The sequence below is a fragment of the Homo sapiens genome, chromosome 3, assembly GCF_000001405.40.
Source record: "Homo sapiens chromosome 3, GRCh38.p14 Primary Assembly".
Lineage (NCBI taxonomy): Eukaryota > Metazoa > Chordata > Mammalia > Primates > Hominidae > Homo > Homo sapiens.
This window is the reverse complement of record NC_000003.12, coordinates 10,706,530-10,731,406: the sequence shown is the minus strand read 5'-3', so window position 1 is coordinate 10,731,406 and position 24,877 is coordinate 10,706,530. Positions and strand designations below refer to the sequence as shown.

Genomic DNA, 24,877 nt, shown 5'->3' with positions numbered 1-24,877 from the left:
ATAATTGTGAAATACATTCACGTTGTTGCATGCAGTAATAATCTGCCCTTTGTTATTGCTGTGTGAGTATACAATTTATTGATCTGTTCTACTGTTGATGAAAATTTGGGTTGTTACCAGTTTGGGGCTATTTTGAGTAACAACTGCTTTCTCTTATTTTTCACATTTAGATCTAAAGTCCATCTACCATAATTTTTTGCATGTGGAGTGAGGTAGGGGTCTGGGCTCATTTTTTCACTGTGTAATTATTCAGTTGATCCAGCTCTATTTATTGAGCTCTGTTTCATTCCACTGGCATTTTTGCCCATCTTTGTTTTAATATCACTATTGTGGGCTGAATGCTTGTGTCCCCCCAAAATTTACACATTTAAATCCCATCCCCCAGTGTGATGATATTAGGATGTGTAGCCTTTGGGGGGTAATTAGGTCATGAGGGTGGTGCCCTCCTGAATGGTACCCTTATAAGAGAGGCCCCAGAGAGCTTTCTCACACTTTCTGCTGTGGGAGTACACAGCGAGTTTCACTCACGTCTGTGTGAAGAGACCACCAAACAGGCTTTGTGTGAGCAACAAGGCTGTTTATTTCACCTGGGTGCAGGCGGGTTGAGTCCGAAAAGAGTCAGCGAAGGGAGATAGGGGCGGGGCCATTTTATAAGATTTGGGTAGGTAAAGGAAAATTACGGTCAAAGGGGGATTGTTCTCTGGCGAGCAGGGCTGGGGGTCACAAGGTGCTCAGCGGGGGAGCTTTTGAGCCAGGATGAGCCAGGAGAAGGAATTTCACAAGGTAATGTCATCAGTTAAGGCAGGAACAGGCCATTTTCACTTCTTTTGTGGTGGAATGTCATCAGTTAAGGCAGGAACCGGCCATCTGGATGTGTACGTGCAGGTCACAGGGGATATGATGGCTTAGCTTGGGCTCAGAGGCCTAACAGCGAGAAGACATTGTCTGTGAATCTGAATGTTGGCCTCCACCAGACACTGAATCTGCTAGTGCCGTATTTTGGACTCCCCAGCCTCCAGAATTGTGAAAAATAAATGTTTGTTGTTTAAGCTGCCCAATCTATGGTATTTTTGTTATAACAGCCTAAATGGACTAAGATAATCACACTGTCTTAGTTACTGCAAGTTTATATCTTGATAGCTAGGAGTGCACATATTCTTACCTTGTTCTTTTCCATTTTTATCAAGGAGGAGATCAGCTTCTCCTTCTTGCAAACCAAAACAGTGATAATGCAAATCAAGGCACATTTGGAATTCTCTGCTGCAGAAGCCTCCCGAGGCTCATGCCTGGAATCTCTTAACCCACCCTCTCCCACCTGCTTTTGTTTCTGGGACTGAGAGTCTGGATTCTGACAAGCCTGAGTTCGAATCTCGTGTCTGCCCCTAACTGTGAGAATTTGGGCAAGTTGCTCCTCTTTCTGGGCCTCTGTTTCCTCATTTATAACACGGGAATAGTCATAGTACCTAACTCAAAAGGTTACTGTGAGGCTTAAATGAGACTATATAAAATGCTAAACACAATGCAGCAATGGACAGATCAGCATCACCATGATCATCACCGCCCCATAGTTCCTGTCACCGGGAGAGGACAGACCCTCAAGTTGACCATCTTGCTGCATTCACACTGATCATGGGGTCCCTTCTGAGAACTGAGCTTCAGCTTTTTTCTTGAGCCAAGGCCTCTCTTTCTGTCTTCCCACACACTGCTAGCTCAGCCCTTGGCTCCAGAGACTCAGCCCCTGTACTCTCCCACGTGTTGTTAGTGGGCCCAGCTCCAGGCAAGTTTCAGGGTTGGAGGCAAATGCCAGCTCCACTGAGGTCTCCCTTGCCCACACCCCCATCCCAGTGAAGAGGAGGTTACCAAAAGGAGGAAAGGAAGGAAAGAATCCTCTTTCCCTTCCTCAGGCAGGAAGGACTGGGTGAGAAAAGGTGTGGAGGTGAAAACAGGCATGACAAGTGTTCTGGTTACCTATTACTGCAAAATAAATCACCCTAAAATTTAGTGGCTTAAAATAACAACTATGTTATTCTCTCTCATGGTTTCTGTGGGTCAGGAAATCAAAGAGGGCTCAGCTAGATGGTTCTTGTTTGGCGTCTCCCCTAGGTTGCAGTGAGTCAGCGGCCTGAGCATCTCTGTCTTCATGTAGTCTCGGGACCTCCCCATGTGATCTCTGCGTGGGCTAGTTTGGGCTTCCTCACAGCATGGTGGCCTCAGAGCAGTCAGCTGCCTTACATAGTGGCTTGGAGCTCCAAATGCAAATGTCCAAAAAGACTCAGGTGGAAGCTGCATCGCCTTTTATGATGTATCCTTAGAGGTCAAATACAGTTGACCCTTAAACAACATCAGCACCAACCCCTTGCACAGTCAAAAATCCATGCATAACTTTTGACTCCTCCAAAATTTAACTGCGGATAGCCTACTGTTGACTGGAAGCCTTACCAATAACATAAACAGTTGATTAACACATATTTTATATGTATTACCTACCGTATTCTTACAATAAAGTAAGCTAGAGAAAAAACGTTATTAAGAAAACCATCAGGATTAGCCAGGAGTGGTGGCAGGTGTCTGTAATCCCAGCTACTTGGGAGGCTGAGACAGGAGAATTGCTTGAACCCAGGAGGTGGAGGTTGCAGTGAGCTGAGACCGTGCCACTTGCACTCCAGCCTGGGCAACAGAGTGAGACTCCGTCTCAAAAAAAAAAAAATTCAGGAAGAAAAGATATATTTACTATTCATTAAGTGGAAGTGGGTCATCATAAAGGTGATGATTCATTGTCATCATCTTCACACTGAGTAGCCTGAGGAAGAGGAAGGATTGGTCTTGCTATCCCAGGGATGACAGAGGCAGAAGAAAATCTGGGTATAAGGGGACCCGTTGCAATTCAAACCTGTGTTGTTGAAGAGTCAACTGTAATGTCATGTCTACCGAACTCTGTTGGTGAAAATAGTCAGAAAAGCCTATCTAGTTTGAAGGGGAGGGGACGTAAACTCCACCTCTCAATGAAAGGAAAGTCAAAGTCACACTATAAGCAGAGCATGTGGAATGGGAGATAATATTGCATTCCTCTTTGGAAAATACAGTCTTGTCACAGCAAGTCTGAAGGACATGCAGGAAACAATTTTGGCTGTACCAAGAGAGTCTATGTGGTAGTTTGAGGAATTAATCTTGTGGAGGTTGGGAGCTAGCAGTGAGCTTGTTTGAAAGGATGTGTTTAGACTTGGCCTGGAGGCATAGGGGAGCAAAGAAGGTCTGTAAAATCAGGAGCTTTGCATGGCTTGGAGGGAGGTAAAATTTAGTCCTGCTCTGGGAAAGGATAAAGAAAGGAGAACTACTTAGGGATGGCAACAATACCGTACGGCTGTCTCAACCTGTGTGCCTCTGGGACCCCCAGGGTCTTCTTCTTCTGTGCTGGGGCTCAAACACACATTGGCATTACTTTTCCACCTGCCAATATTACGGTTATTGCTTTTCCACCTCCAAGAATTTTGTGAAGTTTTGTTTTGTTTTTGCAGGATCGTGATTTTCCATTAGTCAGGGGCACACTGATAGTTCTCTTTTTCTCCCAGAGTATTAGCAATTGCTAATGCAGCATCATCTGCAGTTGTTTTAGTGCTGTGGGATGTAACAGTGGATGAGACTGGGTGAAGGGTGCACAGAACCTCTTTATCCCAGCTTTGCAACTTCCTGTGATCTCTAATTATTTTAAATAAAACGTTTTCAAAATTCATATTATATTTTTTCTTCTAAAAGTTCTAGTTGGCTGTTTTCCTCTCTGCTTTCACTCTACTTCTTTTATTTCCATAAATATAAGATTTTCTATTCTGTACCTGATAATTCTAATGTTTGATCTCGTTTCGTGTTCTGTTTCTGTAGCCTGTTAGTTTTCCTGGTTCTTATTTATAGTGCTTTGTTTCTGATATATTTTTTAATTTTTAACTCTGAGATTTTTATTTTCTTTAGAACATTTATTTTTGCTAATTCTTTGAAGTCTGGATTTAAGTTGAATTTTTCCAGAGCAAATTTCTTTTTGCTTCTGCTGTCTGCTGGGAGTGGTCCCAAACCTGGTTGCTGCTACATTTAATTTTCCACTTAAGGCTTTTGGACCATGTAAGTAACACAAATTCTTAAGGGATATTTCATGTTCTTGTCATCTAGTAGCAGGGTCAAGGCAGGTGAGTTTTGTTTCTGTCTACTGTGGTGGGCTTTGATTTTCCACTCAACACCTGCAATTTTGATGAGTGCACTCCAGGACCTCTTGCCTGGCCATGGACAGGGCAAGGTGGACGCTGGCCCTGACCTCTGTATACCTGGTCTGATGCAGACTCTGAGAAGCCTCCTGCAGGGAGCCCCCAGCACTGACTCTCCCTAGCTGCAAGACTTGATGGAATTACTTCATCTCCCTGTAATGGAGATTAAAGCAGCACCTACCCCACAGAGTTCTGTTGAGTATTTATACCAATAAGCCATGAGATGGGCTTACTCCAGAGCCCAGCCTCCAGAGGCCTCTCAGTGAGCTTGAGCTGCTGTCATTACTAAGGCCTGGAGAGGGTCATCTGGTGCAGGATCAAAAGCCCTGTATTGTAGGGTAGAAAGAGCACAGGCTCTGCAGTCAAAGATCCAGGTTCCAGGTCCAGCCGCGCCATTTGCTAGCAGTGTGACTTTGGACAAATCAATTCATCCAGTCATTCACCCATCTGTCTATCCAGCAACAATTTGTCGAGTGCTTTCTCCACCTGGAAGTGATTCCATGCCGGAGATTTGTTAGTGAACAAGGCAGTCCTAGCACCTGTCCTCATAGAGCTCAGAGTCTCTTAGGGAAGACAGGTGTTGAACACAGGTAGAGAGGCAAGGCGCTAACTCAGTTCTCAACAGGGGGGCAATTCTGCCCTACCCAGAGGACATTTGTTCATGTCTGAAGGCATTTTGGGTTGCATAACTTTGGGAGAACTACTGGCATCTAGTGAGTAGAGGCCAGTGATGTTGCTAAACACCTTGTAATGCACAGGGCAGCCCCACAGCTAAGAATTATCCAGCCCAAAATGTCAGAAGTGCCAAAGTTGAGAAGTTCTGTTCTGTAGAATGCGTGGCAGGGGGTCCTACTAGTTAGGAGGTGGTGTTGCGGAGTCAACCCTAAAGAAGTGACAGTGGCAACCTCAGGGACGAATTAGGCAGTGTGTGTGCGGGTGGAAGAGAGGTTGAAGGGAGAAAGAGTGTTCCTGGCAGAGGCAACAGCATTACAAAGGCCTGGAAACAAGAGAGTTGAGCAGGGCCTCTGGGGACCTGAGGCAAGTTTATTGCTCCTGGGATACAGAGGGTTGGGGGCAGGGTGACAGGTGAACTTGAATGTGGAGGCACATGCTATAGGGAATACTGGCCACTCCTGACATTCAGTAGGCCGGGCCCGAGCCCTTAAAATGCATTATCTCATTGCATGCTCACCATAACACTCTCTAATACGTATTCTTATTTTGTCCTTTATATAGATGGTTCCAAGAAGTGACAAGTTGAAGGTCATGATCCTTTTGCTGACACAGAGCCTGGCACATGGAGGCACCAAATGCATGTTAGTCTAGGCACTGTGGAGGAGCTCAGATTGTGTTTGTTGATTGACTGAGTGAGCAAATGAAGAACGACTAAACCAAGCACAAAGCTGGGCGTCCTAAGGTGGAGCTGGGCTAAGGAAAGTGACTGTCTCTAGGGCCTTCACAATTGAGGCAGGACCTTATCCACCATTTGACCAGGGTGAGGAACTGTGCAGGGCACCCAGGTGTGACCCAACCATGTCCATTGTTCCTCTCTGTCCCTTTGATGGACAGCCTGTACCCACGACACTCTTTCCAGATGCTGCCTGCATCCTAGTTCCCTGTCCTATCACCTCTGCATGGAAAGATGTGGAGTTGGCCACATTGATCCCAACACCAATGGGATCACCTGAGGATGGATCTGGTGACTGACCTTGTGCCTTCTCACAGTACAGGCTTTGGGATCCACAGCAACCCAGGCAGAGTTTGTAACAGTGCAGGTTCCCAGGCCCCATCCCAGACTGCCTGAGTCACTCTGGGCCTGAACCCAGGAAGAGTTAACCATCTGGAGACTGTAGATTGTAACAATTTCCTTGGGTGACTTCCAGGCAGGCTAAAGTGTAAGAAAGGGTGCCATGAATCAGCAAAACAGCCAGCACTTCAACTTGCAACCTGAGCATCCCACAGGGGTCCCAGCCATCGTAGTGCCAGCTACATTTGCTGAAGTGTGAGGCCTGGACTGCAGGCAGGCTCCAGGCCAACCCTTCCTTGCATGACTTGCTCAGGGATCTGTATGACATGCTGGTGCCATTCTCTCCATTTTACAGATGAGGGACCAGAGGCCCAGAGCACTGAAGTACCTAGCTAAAAAGCTGGAACACCATATTACCCTGCCTCCCTGACAGCTTTCCTCCATCCAAGTGGCCCAACTGTGGTTCAGAAAATACAGCCTCATTAAAGACAGGTGCTTGAAACCATGGCCTGGAAGTGGTAATCTGGTTGAGCTCACTTTGCTGGATGGTGAAAGAGCCCAGCCTGCCCTGCCCTGCCCTTCCTTCTTTTTCCCTCTCCTCTCTTCTCCTCTCCTCTCCTCTCCTCTCCTCTCCTCTCCTCTCCCCTCCCCTCTCCCCTCCCCTCCTTTCTTTTCTTCTTTTTCCCTTCCTCTCGTCTCCCCCTCCCCTCCCCTCCCCTCCTGTCCCATTCCCTTCCCTTCCTTTCCCTCCCCTCCCCTCTTCTCCCCTCCTTTCTTTCCTTCCTTCCTTCCTCCCTCCCTCTCTCTCTCTTTCCTATTTTCTTTCTCTCGTTCTTTCCCGAGTCATTGATTCAACAGAACAGCCCACTGTGGTTATTGGAATGCACTGGGAGAGACACAATGTGCTTCCAGCTCCAAAGGAAAGATGAGAAGAATCAGAGAACACAGAGGCCAGAAAGGCCTGGCGAGGAGCTCAAACAGGGACCTATCAGGGCTGGTGTCCGGTGTGAGGGGGTTTGAGCCTCTGAGAGGTCCAGACAAAGCCATCTTGCGCCTAGGCGCTTGTCTGTAAACGCGGGATCTTTGCTTAGTGGCTAAGAATGTGCCTGCTGGGCTGAGTCTAAGACCTGGAGATGCACCCAGAAATCAGTGTCTGGTTGCCCTGAAACATGTGTTGAGAAGGAGAGCCTCAGGGTGGCACTGATGTTTGGCGGATAGGTTCAGAGATCTGCATGGGACTCCCAGTTAAGCCCCTTTGCTGTGTGAGCATTCATCAACCCCCAGCCCTCTCTGAGCCTCAGTGTTACCTGTGTGATGTTGGATTGGAACTGGTTGCTTACTAAGGGTCTTCTAGTTCTAGACTTTAAAGTCTTAACCTCCTGGCCTGACATAGGGTAGGTGCTTAATAAATACGCCATGAAGAAATACATTTGCTTTTACACAAGGTTTCTCCTCTTCCTTTGCTGGAACTGAGGTTGGTGCAGTGTTCAGCTCCTTCTTTCCATACCATTCCAACCAACTATCATACCACCAACTCCGATCAGGCTCTTTCTCTAGCTCCTGTCAGCAGTCTCCACCTTCCAGGTACACCACCTGGCTGACTGTCCCAGCCTCCCCCTCCCCCACCCTCCTTCCCAACACTCAGAGTCTTGTCCCCTTCAATCCAGCCCCTGCAGTACAGCCAGAGGGGGCTTCCCAAGACATAACTAAAACTACGTTCCTCCCTGCAAACCTTTCCCCCGCACTCCTGCGTTTGGCCTAAACCACCCTCCCAGTGCTTTCCCATCATTCTCTCCAAAGCCTGGCCCTGAGGGTTAAGTTAAGAGGAGCAGGGCAGGGTGAGGCCAGACCACCTGTGGGCCCCTTTCTCAGCCAGCTCACCTCTCAGCAGTGTGGAGAAAGGAGGATGCACTGGGCCCACACACATGTTGTGGACATCAGTAGCCCCACCCTGCGTGCAGGAAATGTCACAGTGCCATAACTGACTCGAGGGGAGGGCAGTGGGGGACAGGTGCAGGGAAGGTCTTTGCTCCCCCTTTTGTGGCCAACCCGAAGACACAGTAGCCTAGATCAGCAGGAAGAGCAACCAGTAGGAAGCTAAAACCCTGTTTGTTGTGGCCGTGCCACTGACCAGTTGTGAGCTGGAATGAGCCCTCAGCCTCTCTGAACCTCAGCTTCCTCATTTGCAAAAGGGGCTGGCATCATTCACCCCTCTTGGGTAGGATTCCATGGATTATGGACAGAAAAAGCATTGTAACCTCAGGAGTGCTTTGTGTGTACTTGGTGCTGTTATTGGGCATTACCCAGGAGGGCTGGCCGCCATCCAAAATCCACCATCCCTGTATCCTTCCACTTTCAGCAGCTTCCAGTAATAGCCTGCCCGATGAGGCTGGCTGCTTTTCTGATTTTGGCTCTGAGGCGAGTATCGATCTGGGGTGTGCTTTGCGAGGATGGATGAGTGGACACCCAGCCACTCTCCAAACTGGATCTCAGGCTCTAAATGATTCATGTGTCAGGCTGCAAATAGTACCTTTCGTTCTGGTGCCTCCAGTTTGCTTGGGAAAGCATATAGCCTCCTCAGCACTTTGGAACTTGATGCCGAGGCTGAGATGTGGTCCTGTTTGCTAAATTTAGGGTTGGCTGTTCCTGTGTGTAAACAGGATGCTGCAGAGTTGGGGGGGACAGGGCTTGTCTCCTTCTTTATTCATATGCAGTTGGAGGTTTGTTTCCTTCTTGGTAAACTGGAAAGAAACCTGGGATAGGAATGAAGAGGTGTGCATTTGGGTTTTGACATTCTCTTCAACTGGCTGTGTGACTTCTCCAAGTCTTGCCTTCCTGCTTGTAAGACAGAGACATCAATCTCAAAAGCAAACCCCAGGCTGTAATGAAGCTTCTAGGTTTGTTGGACTCTGCACATCCAATAAAGATTGCATGGGGCCATCGTATGGGACCACATGCAATCTTTAGGCTCGCAGATGGGGCATGAGGAGATGTCCATTGGCCCTGACTTCATCCCTGGGCAGCTAAATTTGGGCACCTGGGTCTCAGAGATGCTCCTTTGCTCTCTTTTGTCCCTTGGCACTTAGGACGGACCCAGCATATAGCAGACTCTCAGAAAAGTAGTCATTGGGTGCATAAGGGCACCATTACAGTGACAAAGATCAGCCCATCCCCCAATCCCACAAGGAAAAATCACTAGAGAGAAATATCCCAAATAACCCCCTATCTTGCCTGTAGGTGACCAGTACAGCAGGATCCCTGGGAGAGCAGGAACAATGGCCTGGAGTTACATTTTTTAAATTTAATTTGTTGCCACCCTTTGAACCCACCTCACCCTAGCTTCACCTGCATAAACATCTGTTAGAGGGAGCCGAGGCTGTAATGTCTTCACATTAGAACAGAGTCCACCATGGAGACAAGCAAATGCACAAGAACTTTCTCCACTTTTAGGTTTACTGAACCTAAGAGTAACCCACACAGAAGTCTGCTCCTGAAAACTTTGCAACAGATAGGATCTTCACGGGAAAGCTTGACTGCCTCGTTTTCACCACCTGTGCCCACGTTAGACCCCCATCTCCCTTACCACCATAGCACCATAGCACATGTAATTCTGCTATACATCTGCCTTGATCACCGCTGCATTTTTCGCACCTAGTGCAATGCTTGGCACATGTGTATAAGCTCAATAAGTATTTCCTGCTTTGTTGGCTTGGTGAGTTAATTAATGGAGCAGACAAACCTCTGAAATTTCAGTGGCTTAGTGTATAAAAGGTTTATTTCTTGCTCATGCAAAGTCTCTTCTGCATGTGGTGACTCAGGGACCTCCTGGTTCTGTCATCTCAACTTAGGTAGGGCCCTGCAAGTCTCCATGGCAAGGAGGGGAGAGACAAAGGAGGAACATCAGTGGTTATCTGTGTCAGCCTAGAAATGATATGCATCCCCTTGGCTCATGGCCCATCAGCCAGAGCAAGTCGGGTGGTCCCAAGTTAATAGCACAGGGGGTTGGGGAATGCAGGGAAGTTCCTGGGCTATTTGAAATGCCCTCACTGCTGCCCCACACTTTGAGCTAAGGCCCCACCAGGGTACGGCCCTTGAGCATTCAACTCAGGCTCACCAAGCAGCTGTGTGTGCCAGATCCTGCCCGGGGGCTTTTGCAACATTTCCCTCATGATCCCCTCCCAACACTCCAGGGAAGTAGAAAATACTAACTGCAATTAGCAGAGGAGGATGCAGAGGCTCATGGTGGTCAACCACTTGCCCAAGTTCACACGGACACCAAGGAGCAAAGCCAAGACTCGAACACAGGTTGGTTTGCTATTTAACTCCAACCCCAGGGCTTTCTCTGTCATGGCCCAGAGACATTCTGGGTATAGACAGTCAAAGGGGCCTTCGAGACAAGGAAGGGATGGGACCAGAGAACACAAGGGAACGTGGTAAGGAGAGAAGAGCGGAAAGGATCAGACACAGCCTGGCAGTGGCTGGAGAAAACGTATCTGTCATCTTCCCATGGTGTTGTTCAGGAAGGAAGCACTGGACTGGGAGAAATAGCTACTTTTATTGACCAGAGATGAAGAAAGAAGATGCCTTCTAAACAGGGCTTAATTTATTGGCTGCCTTGCACAAAAGTCCTTTGGATGCTCAAGAGAGTCATTTAGATTTTGTCTCATCTTTGAGAAATGGGGACCGTCACTCCCTGCTTTCAGGTTATTTTTGAAATGAACACTTTCTCCCCACAGAGAACCTGTTATTCAGAGTACCTTTTTTCCCCATCAAATTCTTTTTTTTTTTTTTTTTTTGGTCTAGTTGAATCCCAGAGGGGATAATAAATATATGGAAACCAAATAAAAGGAAAGACATAAAAACAAACTCCGTTTTCAACAAACTCCTTCTAACAGTTGGGTTCAGGGTTGCTAACAGGTCTTCAACTGCTCTTAGCAAACGCTTAAGAGTCTCTGTTCTGAATACAATTACCGCAATTTGGAGAGGCCCTTTGCTAAGGTGCTAGCCTCCACAGACAACTACCCAGCCCAGGCCTGTTTGAGTCAGGGGAGCTGGCTCTGTTGGGCAGCTCTCCAGAGTGACCCATGGAAGACCACTTGGGCGCGGGGCAGTGCTTATCTTGAGAAAGTTTGCCTTTCTACCACCTCCACATCTGCCTCTCCAGCCCTAGAACTTACATGCCCTAGTTCTGCCCCACTTGTGTTTCCTGGGACAATCTATAGGGGCACCTGTTTTATCAAATTTCTCACTCAGCACATAAAAAAGTAGGCCACTGATTTGTTTCACAGAACCCGAAGCCTTAACCGTCAATTTCAGGTTGTGTTACATCAGGTCATAGGTGGCTGCCATAGCTGGGGAAGTGTGGAAACCAGGACAAGGCTTTGGTCCAGGGGCCACAAGTGTTGGTTGGGGAAGGTGCGTGGAGGTGCAGAAACTCTCCCAGAAAAGCATCCCTGCTGCTCTGATCATGTCACACGCTGCTTGAGCCCACCCATGGCTCCCTGTGTCCATTAGGATGAAATCCAACAAATCCCCATCATGCGTCTTCTGAGGACTATAGTGTTCCATCCTCTACTAATTCCGGCCTGTATCCCATGCTTTCAGTGTCCCGCATCACACTCCGGGGGCTGAGTCACTTCCAGTTTCTTCCATGTCCCATGCTGCTGTCACCTGTTTGCCTTTGCTCCTGCCGTGCCCACTTCCAGGCATGCCCTTCCTCTCTCTCCCATTCATGCACACATATGTGCACACACATACACACATATGCACACACATAGACACATGCACACACACGTATACACATACACACATGCATGCATATGCATTGCTATAGATTGAAAGCTTATATCCCTCTCAAATTTCTATGTTGAAATCCTCACCCCCAGGGCAATGGTACTAGGATGTGAGGCCTTTGGAAGGTGATTAGGTCATGAGGATGGAGCCCTCATGAATGGGATTGGTAACCTAAAAAAGCAACACCAGAGTTTCCTTACCCCTCCCATCATGTGAGGACACAGTGAAAAGAAGGTCCTCTACAAACCAGGAAGTGGGCCTCAACAGATACCAATTCTACCAGCGCCTTGCTCTTGGACTTCCCAGCCTCTGGACAGTGAGAAACACATTTCTGTGGTTTATAAGCCACCCAGTCTATGGTATTTTGTTGTAGCTGCCTGGACAGACCAAGACACTCTACACAAGCACGTGCTCACACACACTGTCCTCTAGGACCACTCTACTCACTGCCTAAGATTAAACTCCGGATTGCCTCATCCCAGAGGCCTCTCTGGCTGACCTTGGGCTAAGAAAAGGGAACTTTGTCAGTCCTGCCTTGTTTCCCCCTCATACAGGCCAGTGAGCTTGGATGGAGAGTGGCGGGGGGTGTCTCATTGATCTGTGTCCCCTTCCAAAGGAGACTTTGCTACGTTCTACATTTAGCCAACAGAAAGTCTTGGGCAGAAAATATAAGGAAAAGGACAAAGGCCATCATGATTCATTCTTTTCCGATTTATTTTTCTTGAAAAGTATAGCAGCATTAAAGAAAAAGAAAAAAAAGAGACACAACACAGAACTGTTTTCATTCTCTATTTTTCCTTCTCCTTGTCCACATTTTTTTTTTTTGAGACAGAGTCTCGCTTTATCACCAAGGCTGGAGTGCAGTGGCACAAACTTGGCTCACTGCAATCTCCGCCTCCTGGGTTCAAGCGATTCTCCTGTCTCAGCCTCCCAAGTAACTGGCATTACTGTGTCTCAGCCTCCCGAGTAGCTGGGATTACAGGCACCTGCCACCACACCTGGCTAATTTTTCTATTTTTAGTAGAGACGGGGTTCCACCAAGTTGGCCAGGCTGGTTTCGAACTCCTGACCTCAGGTGATCCGCCCGCCTTGGCCTCCTGAAGTGCTGAGATTACAGGCCTGAGCCACTGTGCCCGGCCCTCCTTGTCCACATTTATACACAACTTAATAGTTGTAATCAGTGCTGACAAACTTGGCATTTCCCCTGCTAATGAGAACATTTCTCCTGGTTCCATTCTTGGGCTCAGTCCCGGGTAGGCACAGGAAGCTTCTACCCTGAGCTGGAGCCGGTGGCAGCCCTTTTCCTAAAACCCTCCCTGCCAGGTGCTTGGGTTCCAGTTCCATTCCAGGCGCCACCCCAAATCCTTCCTCCTCTCTCCACCTCCAGTACCCCCAAGTATCACTCCACATAGGTGCCTTTGTTCCTTAGTGGGAGGGACTTGGCATTCATGGAGCCCCTATGACATGCTTAGTGCTTTCCATAGAGCAGGCCAGTTAATGCCTGCAACAGCCCTGCAAGGCAAGTACTATATCCCTTGCCCTACATATGTGGAAACTGAGGCTCAGAAGTGAGGCAGCTTCTCCACCAATCCAACCCTCCAACCCTGAGTCCTGGGACCTTGACTGTTCCTGAATCAGCTGATCCCAAGTCACCCACCTGGTACCCCAGGCACCTAACAAACACAGGGCTGCCAGATGGCTACGCACACTCCTGTTAGGGGCCAGTTCTCCAGGTCAGGGGTAGAGTCGGGCTCTAACAGTGAAGTGTGTCCTTTCTGAGAGTAAGGGAAAGGTTTGGCTGAAAGCACAGAGGCACCGGACAGTCAGGACAGTGTGATCTCGGGAAAGTTCCTTCACCCCTGTCTCAATTTCCTCATCTGTGAAGTGGCATCTACCTGATGGATGTTGTGAGATTAAATGAGCTGGTGAAAGCAAAACATCCAAACAGTGCCTGGCACATAGCAAGCTCTATATAATTGCCAATATTGTGATTATTATCATCATCTCTGACTGTGGTACCTCATTTCTAGGCTGAATATGCTCACCCCTAGTCTTCTGGACTCTCTACTATTTTTAATTAGGGAGTTGAAGCCTCACGAGTCATGGGGTTTCCTGATAGATAACGATGATTGCAGCCACACTATGTGCCAAGTGTTTTTTTTTTCTTTTCTTTTCTTTTTTTTAAATTATACTTTAAGTTCTAGAGTACATGTGCACAACGTGCAGGTTTGTTACATATGTATACATGTGCCATGCTGGTGTGCTGCACCCATTAACTCGTCATTTACAATAGGTATTTCTCTTAATTCCATTTTTAATGTCCATCCCTGGCAACAATATTGCAAAATAGGAATCACTACCACCAGTGTTTAGATGAGAAGATGGAGGTTCAAGGTTCCATGGTGGGCCAGAGGCAGGGCCAGAAATCGCATTCGGCTCAATGGGGCAGCAGGACCCCGGCTGTCCCATTCACCTTCCTAGCTTCACTGGATGATATGGTGCTCAGTGCACGGAGCCACGGGGCCCACTGGGCCCTCCTCCTTGAGGATTCTGATGAGCGTCCTGTTATTACTTGGATGGTGTGACACCCTTTTCAGCAAGGAGCAGTGGGAATAGAGTGGGTGGATTTGATTTTCTAAATCATCCCGGCTGTTGGCCTAGAGAGGCCGAAAAGACCAGTACCCTGTCCTCTGGGCCCGTCCCAGAGCCTGTAACCTCAGCATAGGTGCTGGTTACCATGGCGGCCATAGCACCTCTTCCCAGGTCTCTGGACAGTTCTCTTGGGAAAGCTGGGGTAAAAAGGTTTTCTCAACCCTTCCTTCCTATCACCTTATTCACTCATCTCCACTTACGTTTAGAGGCCTGCTCCATGCCAGGCTCTGTGATAAGCAGTAAGGATACAGAAGTGAGCCAAAAAGATACAGTCTCCTCCCAACAGGAGGAGGAAGAGGATCAAAAAGACACAGCCCCCTCCCAACAGGAGGAAGAGCTCCAGAAAGACTCAGTCCCCTCCCAACCGGAGGAGGAAGAGGACAAAAAAGACACAGCCCCCTCCTAGCAGGAAGAGGAAGAGGACCAAAAGATGCAGTCCCCTCCCAACAGGAGGAGGAAAAATACAGGCCTGACAGCAGGGCCCTCAGGGAAAGATGCAGGCCACAGAAAGATAGAGCGTGCCTTCTGTCCTTAGAAGACAAGATGAAAGCTGAGATCTGAATAAGTGCATTTGGTGTTGGGGGAACAGGGAGGAGGCCAGTGTGGCTGGAGCCAGGTGAAGCTGGGGAAGAGGGAGAAGATCCCCTTAGCTACTAAGACAAGAACAGCAGAGTCGTCCTCAACTCTCTCCTCACCCTCACATCCATCGACTTATCTATATTCCCTTCTAAAAGTTTCCCAAACCCATCCCTTCTTATCCAGCCCTGGGTGCTTACTTTGGGTCAGTGTTCCCCTTCTCTGTGTGATGTTGCCATGGCCACCTCTCCAACTGTCTGCAGCCTCCATCTGCTCTCCTGGAATCTATCCTTTCCCAGCTTTCTGAAACTAATTTCTGGCTGTGTCACTCCTCACCTGCAAAACCTTCGATGGCTCCCCATGGTCTATGCTGTGCTGTCCAATTCCGTAGCTGCAAGCCACAGATGGCTATTTAAAGGTAAATTAATTAAGGTTAAATAAAATGTGAAATGCAGTTCCTCAGTTACATGGACCACATCCCAAGGGCTCAATAGGCTCATGTGGCTAGTGGCTACCATATTGGACAGGATAGATACAGAATACTTCATCCCAGAAAGTTCTTTTGGACAGCATGGACTCTGTGGGAAACAAAATCCAAATTCTTTGGCCTGATATTTAAGGCCTTAAACAATATGGCCCCAGCTGGCTCATCCCGGCTCATTTCCCACCAGCCCTTCCCACCACACTCAGCTCCAGCATGTCACATGAACCTACAATTCCCAACCCTACCTGTGGTAGTGTCCTCTGTACCTTTCTGGAGTTTACCTGTGCAACACATGCAGTGCAACACATGCAGAGATGTATGGAGTGTGTATGGACCTGTGTGTGTGTATATGTATGTGTGAGTGTGTGTGTGTCTGTGTTAGTGTGTATGTGTGTATTTTCTCATTTTCCTCCCTTTCTTACACTAAAGTTTCTTTGGGGGATGACAAAAATGTTATGAAATTAGATTATGGTGATGGTTGCACAACTCCATAAATATAGTAAAAGTCATTGAATTATTACTTTAAATGAGTGAACTTTATAATATGTAAATTATATTTCAATAAAGCCATTTTTAAAAAGAATGTTACATATACTGATATATACTGGTTTGCATCTTGTTTGTTCAAGAGAGCCTGGCACTCTTTCCCCATCACTGAATACAGAGCTTCCTCATTCTTTATACAGCTGCAGAGTATTTCACTGTGTAAATGTTCCATCATTTATCTACCATGTCTCCAGCTGATGGCCTCTTGGGGGTGTTTCCAGCCCTTTACTATTCTGGACAATGCTGCAGGAATAGCATGTTCCAGGTGTGCACTGGTGTATCCATGGAACAAATTTCTCCAAGTGGGGTTGCTGGATTGCAGAGTAGCTGCAGTTATCATTTTGACAGATGTTGCACAGCTCCCTCCATGGAGCTGAACAGAGTTACACATTCCCACCTGCAAAGGATGAGAGCACACGTTTCCCCAAGCCTCACTGATAGCTTGCATCAGACTCATATGATCTATCAGTGCGCTTTTAAATACATTACTCTTATAAGGGAGCTTGAGCAGCTTTATAGATATTTAAAAGGCTTTTGGATTTATTTCGGGGGAAACTGCCTGTTCATGTCCTTTGCCCATTTTTTATTAGATTGCTGATCTTTTCCATCTTGATTTCTAGACGTTCTTTATACATTGTGGTTATTAAACCTTTGCAATACATTTTTTCCAATTTATTTTTTGTCTTTTGTTTTATTTGCCACATAGAATTTTAAAAGATTTTTTAAATCTTGTTAAATTAATCAATCTTATCTTTTCTGGATTTTGAATTTTTGAGTATCAGAAAGGCCTTACCCACTCCAAATTTTTAAAGAAGTTTGCCCAAACTTTGACACTTCCTGCCTCCATGCTTTTGCAATTAAATTAAAATTAAATAAAAATTGTGATCCACTTGACATTTGGTCCACATGGCATTTCAAGGGGTGTGCATTGGTGTATGGTGTATGGATCGAACCATCCTTTTCCACATGATCACCTGTTTGTCTCAACATCATATATTAAGTATTTACACCCCACTGATTCAAGATGTTGCCTTTATCATATACTAACGTCCTGGGTGAACTGGAGCCTATTTCTGGACTTTCTATTCTGTTCTACTGGTATGTCTATCTCTTCATGCACCAAGACCACACTAGTATAATTATTGCAGTTTTAGGGTATAAAACAAAATTTAATCCAACTCCTCTGTGAAGCTTTCTAAGATATCCTTAAACAACTCAAAGTTTAACTATGATGCTCTCCTGGATTTTGTTTCCCCATAAACAAACCCCAAGACAAGGATTCAAGTACAAGCAGTTTAATTGCGAATTGATTCCAGAAAATACCAGTGAGGGGAGAGGAGTGGCAGGGAGGAAAGGCCAACAAAGGATGCATCATTAAGCAACCCACCACTGGGGGCCACCGGAGCTCAGTCCCACCAGGGTCCTCGGGGCCTCAGAGTCATCCTCCCCGAGGGCGAGGGAGCTGGAGAATGTACACAACAACTCCCATCAGTTACTTGTTGAGGGCTGCTCACAGCGGGTACCAACTCTCCACCAGGTCTGGCTTGCCCAGTATGTGGGCTGATGGTGTGTCTGCTGTCAGAAAAGGGTTATCAGGCAAAGAGTTACACGTTTGCCCAGAAGATTGGAATGAGGCAATACCAGCACCTTTGTTGGATGCCATGCAAAGTCACCCCATCAAAAGGATGCTAGATCTTCTCTAAAGATGATGTCTAAAGACCAAATATTTATCGGAGAAAAGCCCTTCTTCCTCCCCTGGACTTAGCAGCCCTCCTCACCTCCACCTTCTTCCTTTTACTTCTTGGGGTCCCACCCAGTAAAGGGGATCAACCTAAGCCCTCAGAAAGGTCCTGCCCTTTGGAGGCAGCAGTCTGATCTCTGAGTAGCCATTTTCGACCCTTTCTACCCACAGAATGCATCTGGCCTGTCTGGGACATCACAATCCACACACACAGCCTGCAGACTCCTCTCCATCCCCAGTGTTGTCTGCAGTTTTCTGACATGACAAGGTTTCCTGCTTACAACTGCACTCACCGTTCCAGCAGCTACTCTGGCAAATATTAAATCTATGGTCAATTTAAGTCCTCAGTGTTCTCCGTCAAATACATGGCTTTCAAGTTAGATGGAGATTTCCATCTGAACTTGAGGGATTGCAACCTTACTACCACAAATCAGGACAGGCTCTTTGTCCTCATTTAATTCCATCTTAATAAACACAGTCCCATGGTGCTATCAGCCCTTTAAGATATCCATGAGCCAGAGTTGGCCTTCCATGCCACACTGGCCTAGGTTCAGCCAAATGGTCATACTCTTTCTTGCAGAAGTGCAGTCAAATGCATTTCCCTTATTTCTAGCCCCACCCCTCAACCACCACCACCATCTCTATCTGTGCCTACCTTCCCCTACTATAGAACCCAGCTAAAATGGCCCAGGTTTGCTTTCCTGAACATTTGGGTTTGTGCAAACCTGAGCTTGTGTGGGTCCATCTTCTTTCCTGGGCTCCCCATGAGCCCAGGAACACGTGTGTTGGATCAGTGGATGGATGAATCCTCAGCTCGGCTCCCAGAACCTATGCTGCGAGCTCACCTTCCCTCCTGCCTCTCCCCTGTGCCTCACTTTGCCCTACACCCCTCACACCCCTTCCCTTCCATGCGTTTCCGTGCCCCGATCATGTGCTCTGTCTGCCTGACATGCCTTGCTCCTGTTTCCTTGTGCTCTTAGAAACATCCTTCTAGGATGGATGGGAGTCAGCTGGCCTGGCTCTTCCCCTTTCTAGATCAGTGCCTTTGCTGATCTGTGACTTTGTTTCCTCAACTGCAAAATGGGGATGGGAAAATGATCTGAAGTCAGGTTCCCCAGAAGCAGAGCCTGAGATGGGGATGCTTATGTGTGGGGTTTACTGGGGGTATGCTCACAGGAGAAATCTATAGTAGAAGAAGACAGGCAGGATAGGGGCCAGCGAAGATGAGGTTCCCAGAGAAGTCCACTCTCAGCCTGATCCCATGCGGACGACAGGTGTGTGAATTGCACCGCAGAGGTGCGGAGGCTGTTGCCACCCAGTGGTTCCTGTAAGCCAAGGACAACATCCCCAGGAGAAGGGAGCAAGTGTGAGAAGCTGGCACCTCCACAGAGCTAGGGGCTGGGGAGGCTGGGGTATCAATAGCCTCGCTCACAAACACCTGCTCTATAGCATTGCTGGGGGGATGAAATCAGTATATTTCAAATACTAAGAAGAGTAATTGACATTTAACAGAGTTTAATGATTGTTTCTGTCATTTTGTTACTTTTTCTTTAAAACCCAGCTAAAACTCCACCTCTGAAGTCTTCCCCACTGGCCATTTAGAGAATTAATTACTCCTTTCCCAGGCTATGTCAGCACTTGGTGTATTTGTCCTTTTTATTTAAATTTTTAAATTGCACCAGTAAAACACAGAAATATTGTTGTAACAGGATCTGAAATAGAGTAGAATGTCCTCCTCTCTAACCCACATTCTCCCTGGGAGGAAAACCCTGTTAAATCTTTGTTGGTGGCACTTTGTAACTTGAGCATATCATCCTGCCTTGTTTAGGAGGAACTGAAGTTTCCTGGCCACATTTAGAGTCTTTTAATGGGAAAGACCTGGCTTGTAATTCTTTTAACCCCTGCTCGAGAAATGCCTGCTTAGAGTTGAGCCAAACTTTCTTGATCATAGTGGGGTGGGGTGTCAGAAACACATTTCCAGCCTCCGTGCCCTGGAGATTGCCACTCAGGAGACCTGCACAGGGCCAGGAATCTCTTTCCAGATTCTGGTAACAAGTTCTCCTGGTAAATTAGGTGAAAATCCAGCTTGGAGAACGTTGTGTTAAAGGTGGCTTCCATCATATGAACATCTTGCTTATCAATTAGTTTAGATGCCTCCCTTTTGCTTCATAGAATGATATTTTGGGTGTGGGCACACACTTTTACTGTGGCTACAATAGTAGCGCATGGTCATTGTGGGAACTAGCATATTTTTAAAGTCACCTTTAGCTCCAGCACATGAAAACCACGTTTAAGGGGCATTCACAGGCCCCATGCATATTTTCCAAGTCTGGCCCTGGGACCACCCCGCCATTCCCAGTTTTGTTCTCGGGTATTTCCATCCCCTGCTTCTGCTACAGACTGATGGGAACCAGGGCTCCTTTCTCTTCTCTTTATGAACTTGGGGATGACAGGTGCACCTGCTCACCAAGCACCAGCCGCTTCCCCGTCTCTTCCTCATCCTGCAGAGGAAAGTGGCCACTTCCCCCATTGCCTGCTGCCCTCACCATCTCTCAAGAAGGCCTCAGGTTTTAAGAGTGTCAGGGCCCTATTTTTAGTGGACTGAGACTTCTCCTGGGTGGCCAGATTGTTGCAGCTTCCTCATGACCAGATGTGTGTCTATGTTGGCAGTGGAGCCTCCTGTGGCCTCAGTCTGCACATGCTGGTCACCTCGCGTAACCTTTGCTCCATCCGGGTAATTCTGCGTGTGCGAGTGCACACACACACACACGCACACACACATTGCCTGCCCATTCTCAGAGAAGGACACTGAGGCTCAGCAAGGACAGCTGACCTGTCTAAGCTCCCACACACAGTAGGGACAGAACCAGAACAAGGACTGGGATTTGATCCCTCACCTCCCACCCTTCCCACTCCTGTCAGTTGCAGTGAGGTGCTGTTCCCACTCCATTCCCATGACTTCTGCATGTCTGAGGTGGACATGACCCCCGACATCCCGCCAGAGTGAGGAGAGGGCTGTGTGTGTATGTCTGTGTGTGTCATGAACAACATTGATCTTCCACCTATTCACCCAGAGCCCAGCAGCTGCCAGCCTGCTAGCCAAAACTATGGCAGCTATAACTCTGTTTGACCTTCTCAAAGTTTAAAATTTTTTTTATCAGTTGGTGACATTTAAAAACCAAGAGTATTCACATAGAAATCCAGATGTCCACCTTCTCTGGAAAAAAATGGAAAACTGGCAGTCCAGGCCCACATCCCTGCTTAGCCACCATCCAGTGGAGTTGGGTAGTGGCTGTACCCATTTGACACCACAGATGCCACAGTCCGCACTACTCCCTATTACCTCCCCATACAGAGCCAGTGCCTGCTGCTGTTTGCCACCTCACATACACTGTTGCTTTTTCTTATTGGTAGATTCCAGAGGAGAAAGCCATAAGCCAGAACCAGCCCACCTCCCTAGGTAATGCCTGGTCCTTCTACATATTTGAGTTTGAAATCCCTGCCATCCCCCAAGTCCCTACCCAATAATCTATAAATCTCAGAGCCTTGGCATACAGTAGATGCTGAAAAAGAACTGTAGCCCCCATTTACTGAGTGCTTATCCTGGGTGAGGCTGTGGAACCTATCACCTTTTAACAGATGAACCAACGGGCTCAGAGTTGAAGCTATGCCCAAGGTGAGTTTTGTCACTAGGACTTTTGTGGTGTCACTCACTTTTGCACTGAGCTACCTCTCATGGTGCGGCTTTTCATGCCTATTCTTTTTGCCTTCTCAATTTGCTTGCTGGTTTCAGAAGGTTTCATAAAAGATAGTAATTAAGGCCAAGCCTCAGCATTGTGGCTGGGCAGAGACTGAGAGAGGAGAAAGGCATTTCACAGGAGGAAAAGAAGAGAGAGGAAGACATGGTACAGTGCTAAGGGTGTGCTGGGAGGGGCACTGGCAACCCAGGTGGGGAAGGAGTGGAAAGGGCACTTGAGGCCAGAGTGTGAAAGGCCCTGCATGGCATACTGGGGCTGTGAGACTTCTGAGAGCACTGGGGAGCTATGAAGTGTTTTAGAGCAGGACTGGGCATGATGAAGGCTAGCGTGGCAGCAGAATGGAGGCAGAGAGGATGGCGCTGTGAGAGTCCAGAAAAGAGGTGTCAGGGACCTGAAGAAGAGCCCTTCAACAGAGAGAAGAGCAGATTCCAGGCCCCGTCAGGGAGGACATGGTGCTGGGGTGGGCTGAGGGACAGTGCCTGGAGCTGGCCATCTGGAGGCACTGCAGTGCCATTAGCTGGCACGAGGATGGTGGGAGGAGATATGGATTGGGTGCATCCCTGGGGTGATGTCCTCTGGGTGCCCAGGGAGAGGACAGGGCCGCGGCAGGAGATGCAAGTGCTGCCTGCCAAGCTGAGCGCCAAGCAGCGAGAAGGGAGTGCTCTGGGCCAAGAAGGGCCTGGAGACACCCCTGTCACACCTGCTGGATCGCCTTCTCCACTGGCCTCCCTGGCCCCCTCTCTCCTTCCTATGCCTAAGCCTCCAGGCGTGAATGTCCTCTGCCCCATCCCAGGGCTGCAGAGAGCAGGCCATGTTGAATTTTGGCCCTATGAATGGGCATCCCTGCCACTCCCAGGAAGCAGATGTTCCAGATACTGAGACCCCAGGGTCCCCCCAAGCTCTTCAACTCGTCAGAGCAAGGCCTGGGAAGGGGAATTACTATGGTCAGGCCCTCCCCTCCCCATCTCCTCACTTCCTGCGAGCAGTGCATTTGGCTTTATATAAAGCCAATAAATAAATAAACAAGCCGGCATGATTAATTGATGGTATGGAGCAGACCCAGGCACTGGGAGTCAGGTGGCCTGGCTTCCTGGTGGAGCTCGGCTTTTCAAGACCTGGGGCCTGAGCCAAGGAGGGGAAGCCTGCTTTGGGGAGGTGCTTTCGGTGCGTGTCTGGGGTTTTCAACTTTCTCCTCAGGCAGGGCCACTGTCCTGGACTCCTCCTGGCCCTAAGCAGGGCCAGACTGGAGGCTGGGGGGCTAAGCGTGTCCTTGCCTGCTGCCCTAACCTTTCTCGCCTCTGAGGGCCCTTAGGCTAAGCTCCCAGGGATTGGACCAGCGGTCCCCTCCTCCAAAGCGGGTCTCCCTATCTGCCTACTCCACACCCAATTCACTCCACAGCCAATTCGCTCCACCCCGTGTGGCCAGTTCACAGGCTCGGGTGTGCTGGGGAGGCTTGGGGCACCCTGACCCCTGGGGAAGAATGGGGAGGATGCCTCCCAGGGCCAGGCTGGCTGTGGGGGTGGGGCGGGGACAGGGGCCTGTGCTGATGGAGGTACCTGGAGACACGCCCCGGGGCAAGACTGGATACCCTTCCCCGCAGCCCCACTGGTGCGCGCGGAGGAGGACGCGGGCGGGACCGCGCGCTCCGGTCCCGCGGGGCGCTCTCCGTGAGGAGTTTGGGGAGGGCCGAGGGGGAGCGCGCGGGGAGGAGTGAGCAGGGAGGGCGGGAGGGGGAGGCGGGCAGAGCGCAGTGCAGCGGTGGCAGAGGCGGCGGCGGAGGGAGGGAGGCGGGCGGGCGGCGGCGGGGCCGCGGGGCAGGCGAGCGCGGGGCAGCCGCGGCAGAGGAGCCGCAGCCGCAGCGGGGCCGGGCCGGGCCGGGCGCGCACCAGCGGCAGCGGCGGCGGCAGCGGCGGCGGCAGCATCTCGCTCTCGGAGCCGGCGCAGGTGAGGCAGGGGCGGCCGGGCCCGGGCTCTGGGCCTCTTCCCCTCTCGCTCGGTCTCTTGTCACTTTCCCTGCTGGCTTCCCTTCCGCGGGCGCTCGGCCCCGGAGACCCCCGCCGGGCCAGGGCGGGAGCGTGAGCCGGAGCGTGTCTTGGTCCCTTCGCCCCGCGGAGGCAGGCGCCTTGTCAGCAGTGACCTTGAGCGGGCACCAGGCGGCGGGCGGGGCGGGCCGGGGTGGGCGTCCGCGGACCCGGCGCCTGCGGGTGAGGGAAGGGGGCGCGCCTTGCGCCTGCTGCGCGAAAACTTTCCGGGCTCGGAGCAGCCCCGGAGCTGGGGGGGCGTCCGGGACGCTAGAACCCCCTATTTCTTCTTCCCAGATGGCTCCGACTTCCCCACCTGGCTTCTCCTCAGTGTGGGGGCCCCCTTTCTCCTGGCTCTAGTTCCTGCAGGCTCGGGACAGGTTGAGAGCTGCAGAGACTCACCCTAGGCTGGGGGCTTCTCCCTTCCCCAAACGTGATTTGCAGCTGCTAAGAGCACAGGAGCCAGGAGAGCTAGGAGAGCATCTCTGCCAAGTGCTCTCCGCATCTCCAGCCTCACCTTTTCCTAGCTCCCCTCCTCCTGGCCCCCCTGGCCACAGCCCTAACCCCAAGCACGCACGGGTCCCCCACCTGGTGACACAAGAGCTCGGAAGTCCCACATTCAGTGGGTCCTCAGATCCACAGCGTGATTTTTCAGCCCAGTGCCTAAGCCTCCTTCGGAAGGTGGACTTGGGCAGTTGCCTCAGGCCCTCAGGACGAGCCAGTATAGCATGTTTCGGGACACTGGGACTCACCCAGGGCCTGGCCACCCCTCCTTGCCCTGAGGCCTCAGGAGGACGGGATACTCTGGCCTTTGGTGATGTCCTAGCTGTAGAAGCACTGCTTCCTAGAACATTAGCCTTGGGAAAGGGACATGAGGCCCAGAGAGGGTGAGTTGGCCTCAAGGTCACACAGCAGGGGGCAGGAGTGAAAACTGGGCTTTCTTATAACGGGTTAGAGTGGATGGAGAGGACTGCTGTTTGGTTCCTACATCTGAGGGATTTGGGCTCTGGGACACTGTCTCTTACTAGCTGTGTGACCTCTGGCAAGTCGCTTCCCCTCTCTGACTCAGTTTCCCCACCTTCTAGGGCTACTCTAATGGCTGAATGAGTTAATATTCTTAAAGTTCTCACTGTTATGCCCATGCTTAGTGTATGGTCTGTATCCAAAACATTTTGGCTACCAGCTGGTGTAATTTCCTTTCTGAGCCCTGGAAGGGAAGCCAGAGAGGGTTAATCATTCCCGTGGCCTTCCTCTTCTCTGTGTGGGCTGGTAGGGGGCAGCACCTGCTGGGCTCTTGAGCATCTGTGC

General features: G+C 49.4%; 1 protein-coding gene across 3 annotated transcripts in view, besides 2 other annotated features; it reads left to right on the top strand.

The window, feature by feature from the left end:
• Positions 22,390 to 22,889: an enhancer, noted in NCBI's record as "H3K4me1 hESC enhancer chr3:10750203-10750702 (GRCh37/hg19 assembly coordinates)". NCBI's record gives its function as "activates a minimal SCP1, AML or CMV promoter by ChIP-STARR-seq in naive H9 embryonic stem cells {active_cell/tissue: H9 hESC(naive)}" and the evidence as "EXISTENCE:reporter gene assay evidence [ECO:0000049][PMID:30033119]".
• Positions 22,890 to 23,391: an enhancer, noted in NCBI's record as "H3K4me1 hESC enhancer chr3:10749701-10750202 (GRCh37/hg19 assembly coordinates)". NCBI's record gives its function as "activates a minimal SCP1, AML or CMV promoter by ChIP-STARR-seq in naive H9 embryonic stem cells {active_cell/tissue: H9 hESC(naive)}" and the evidence as "EXISTENCE:reporter gene assay evidence [ECO:0000049][PMID:30033119]".
• Positions 23,291 to 24,877, top strand: part of ATP2B2 (ATPase plasma membrane Ca2+ transporting 2) — a 384,094-nt gene continuing 382,507 nt past the window's right edge. For 2 of the 3 annotated variants that reach the window (XM_017006484.3, XM_006713175.5), the window contains exon 1: positions 23,445 to 23,492. The gene's annotated coding sequence lies outside the window, so the exon portion shown is untranslated. Of the gene's footprint in view, positions 23,493 to 24,877 lie in introns of all 3 variants that reach the window. The other variant, NM_001438036.1, reaches the window with a different exon arrangement.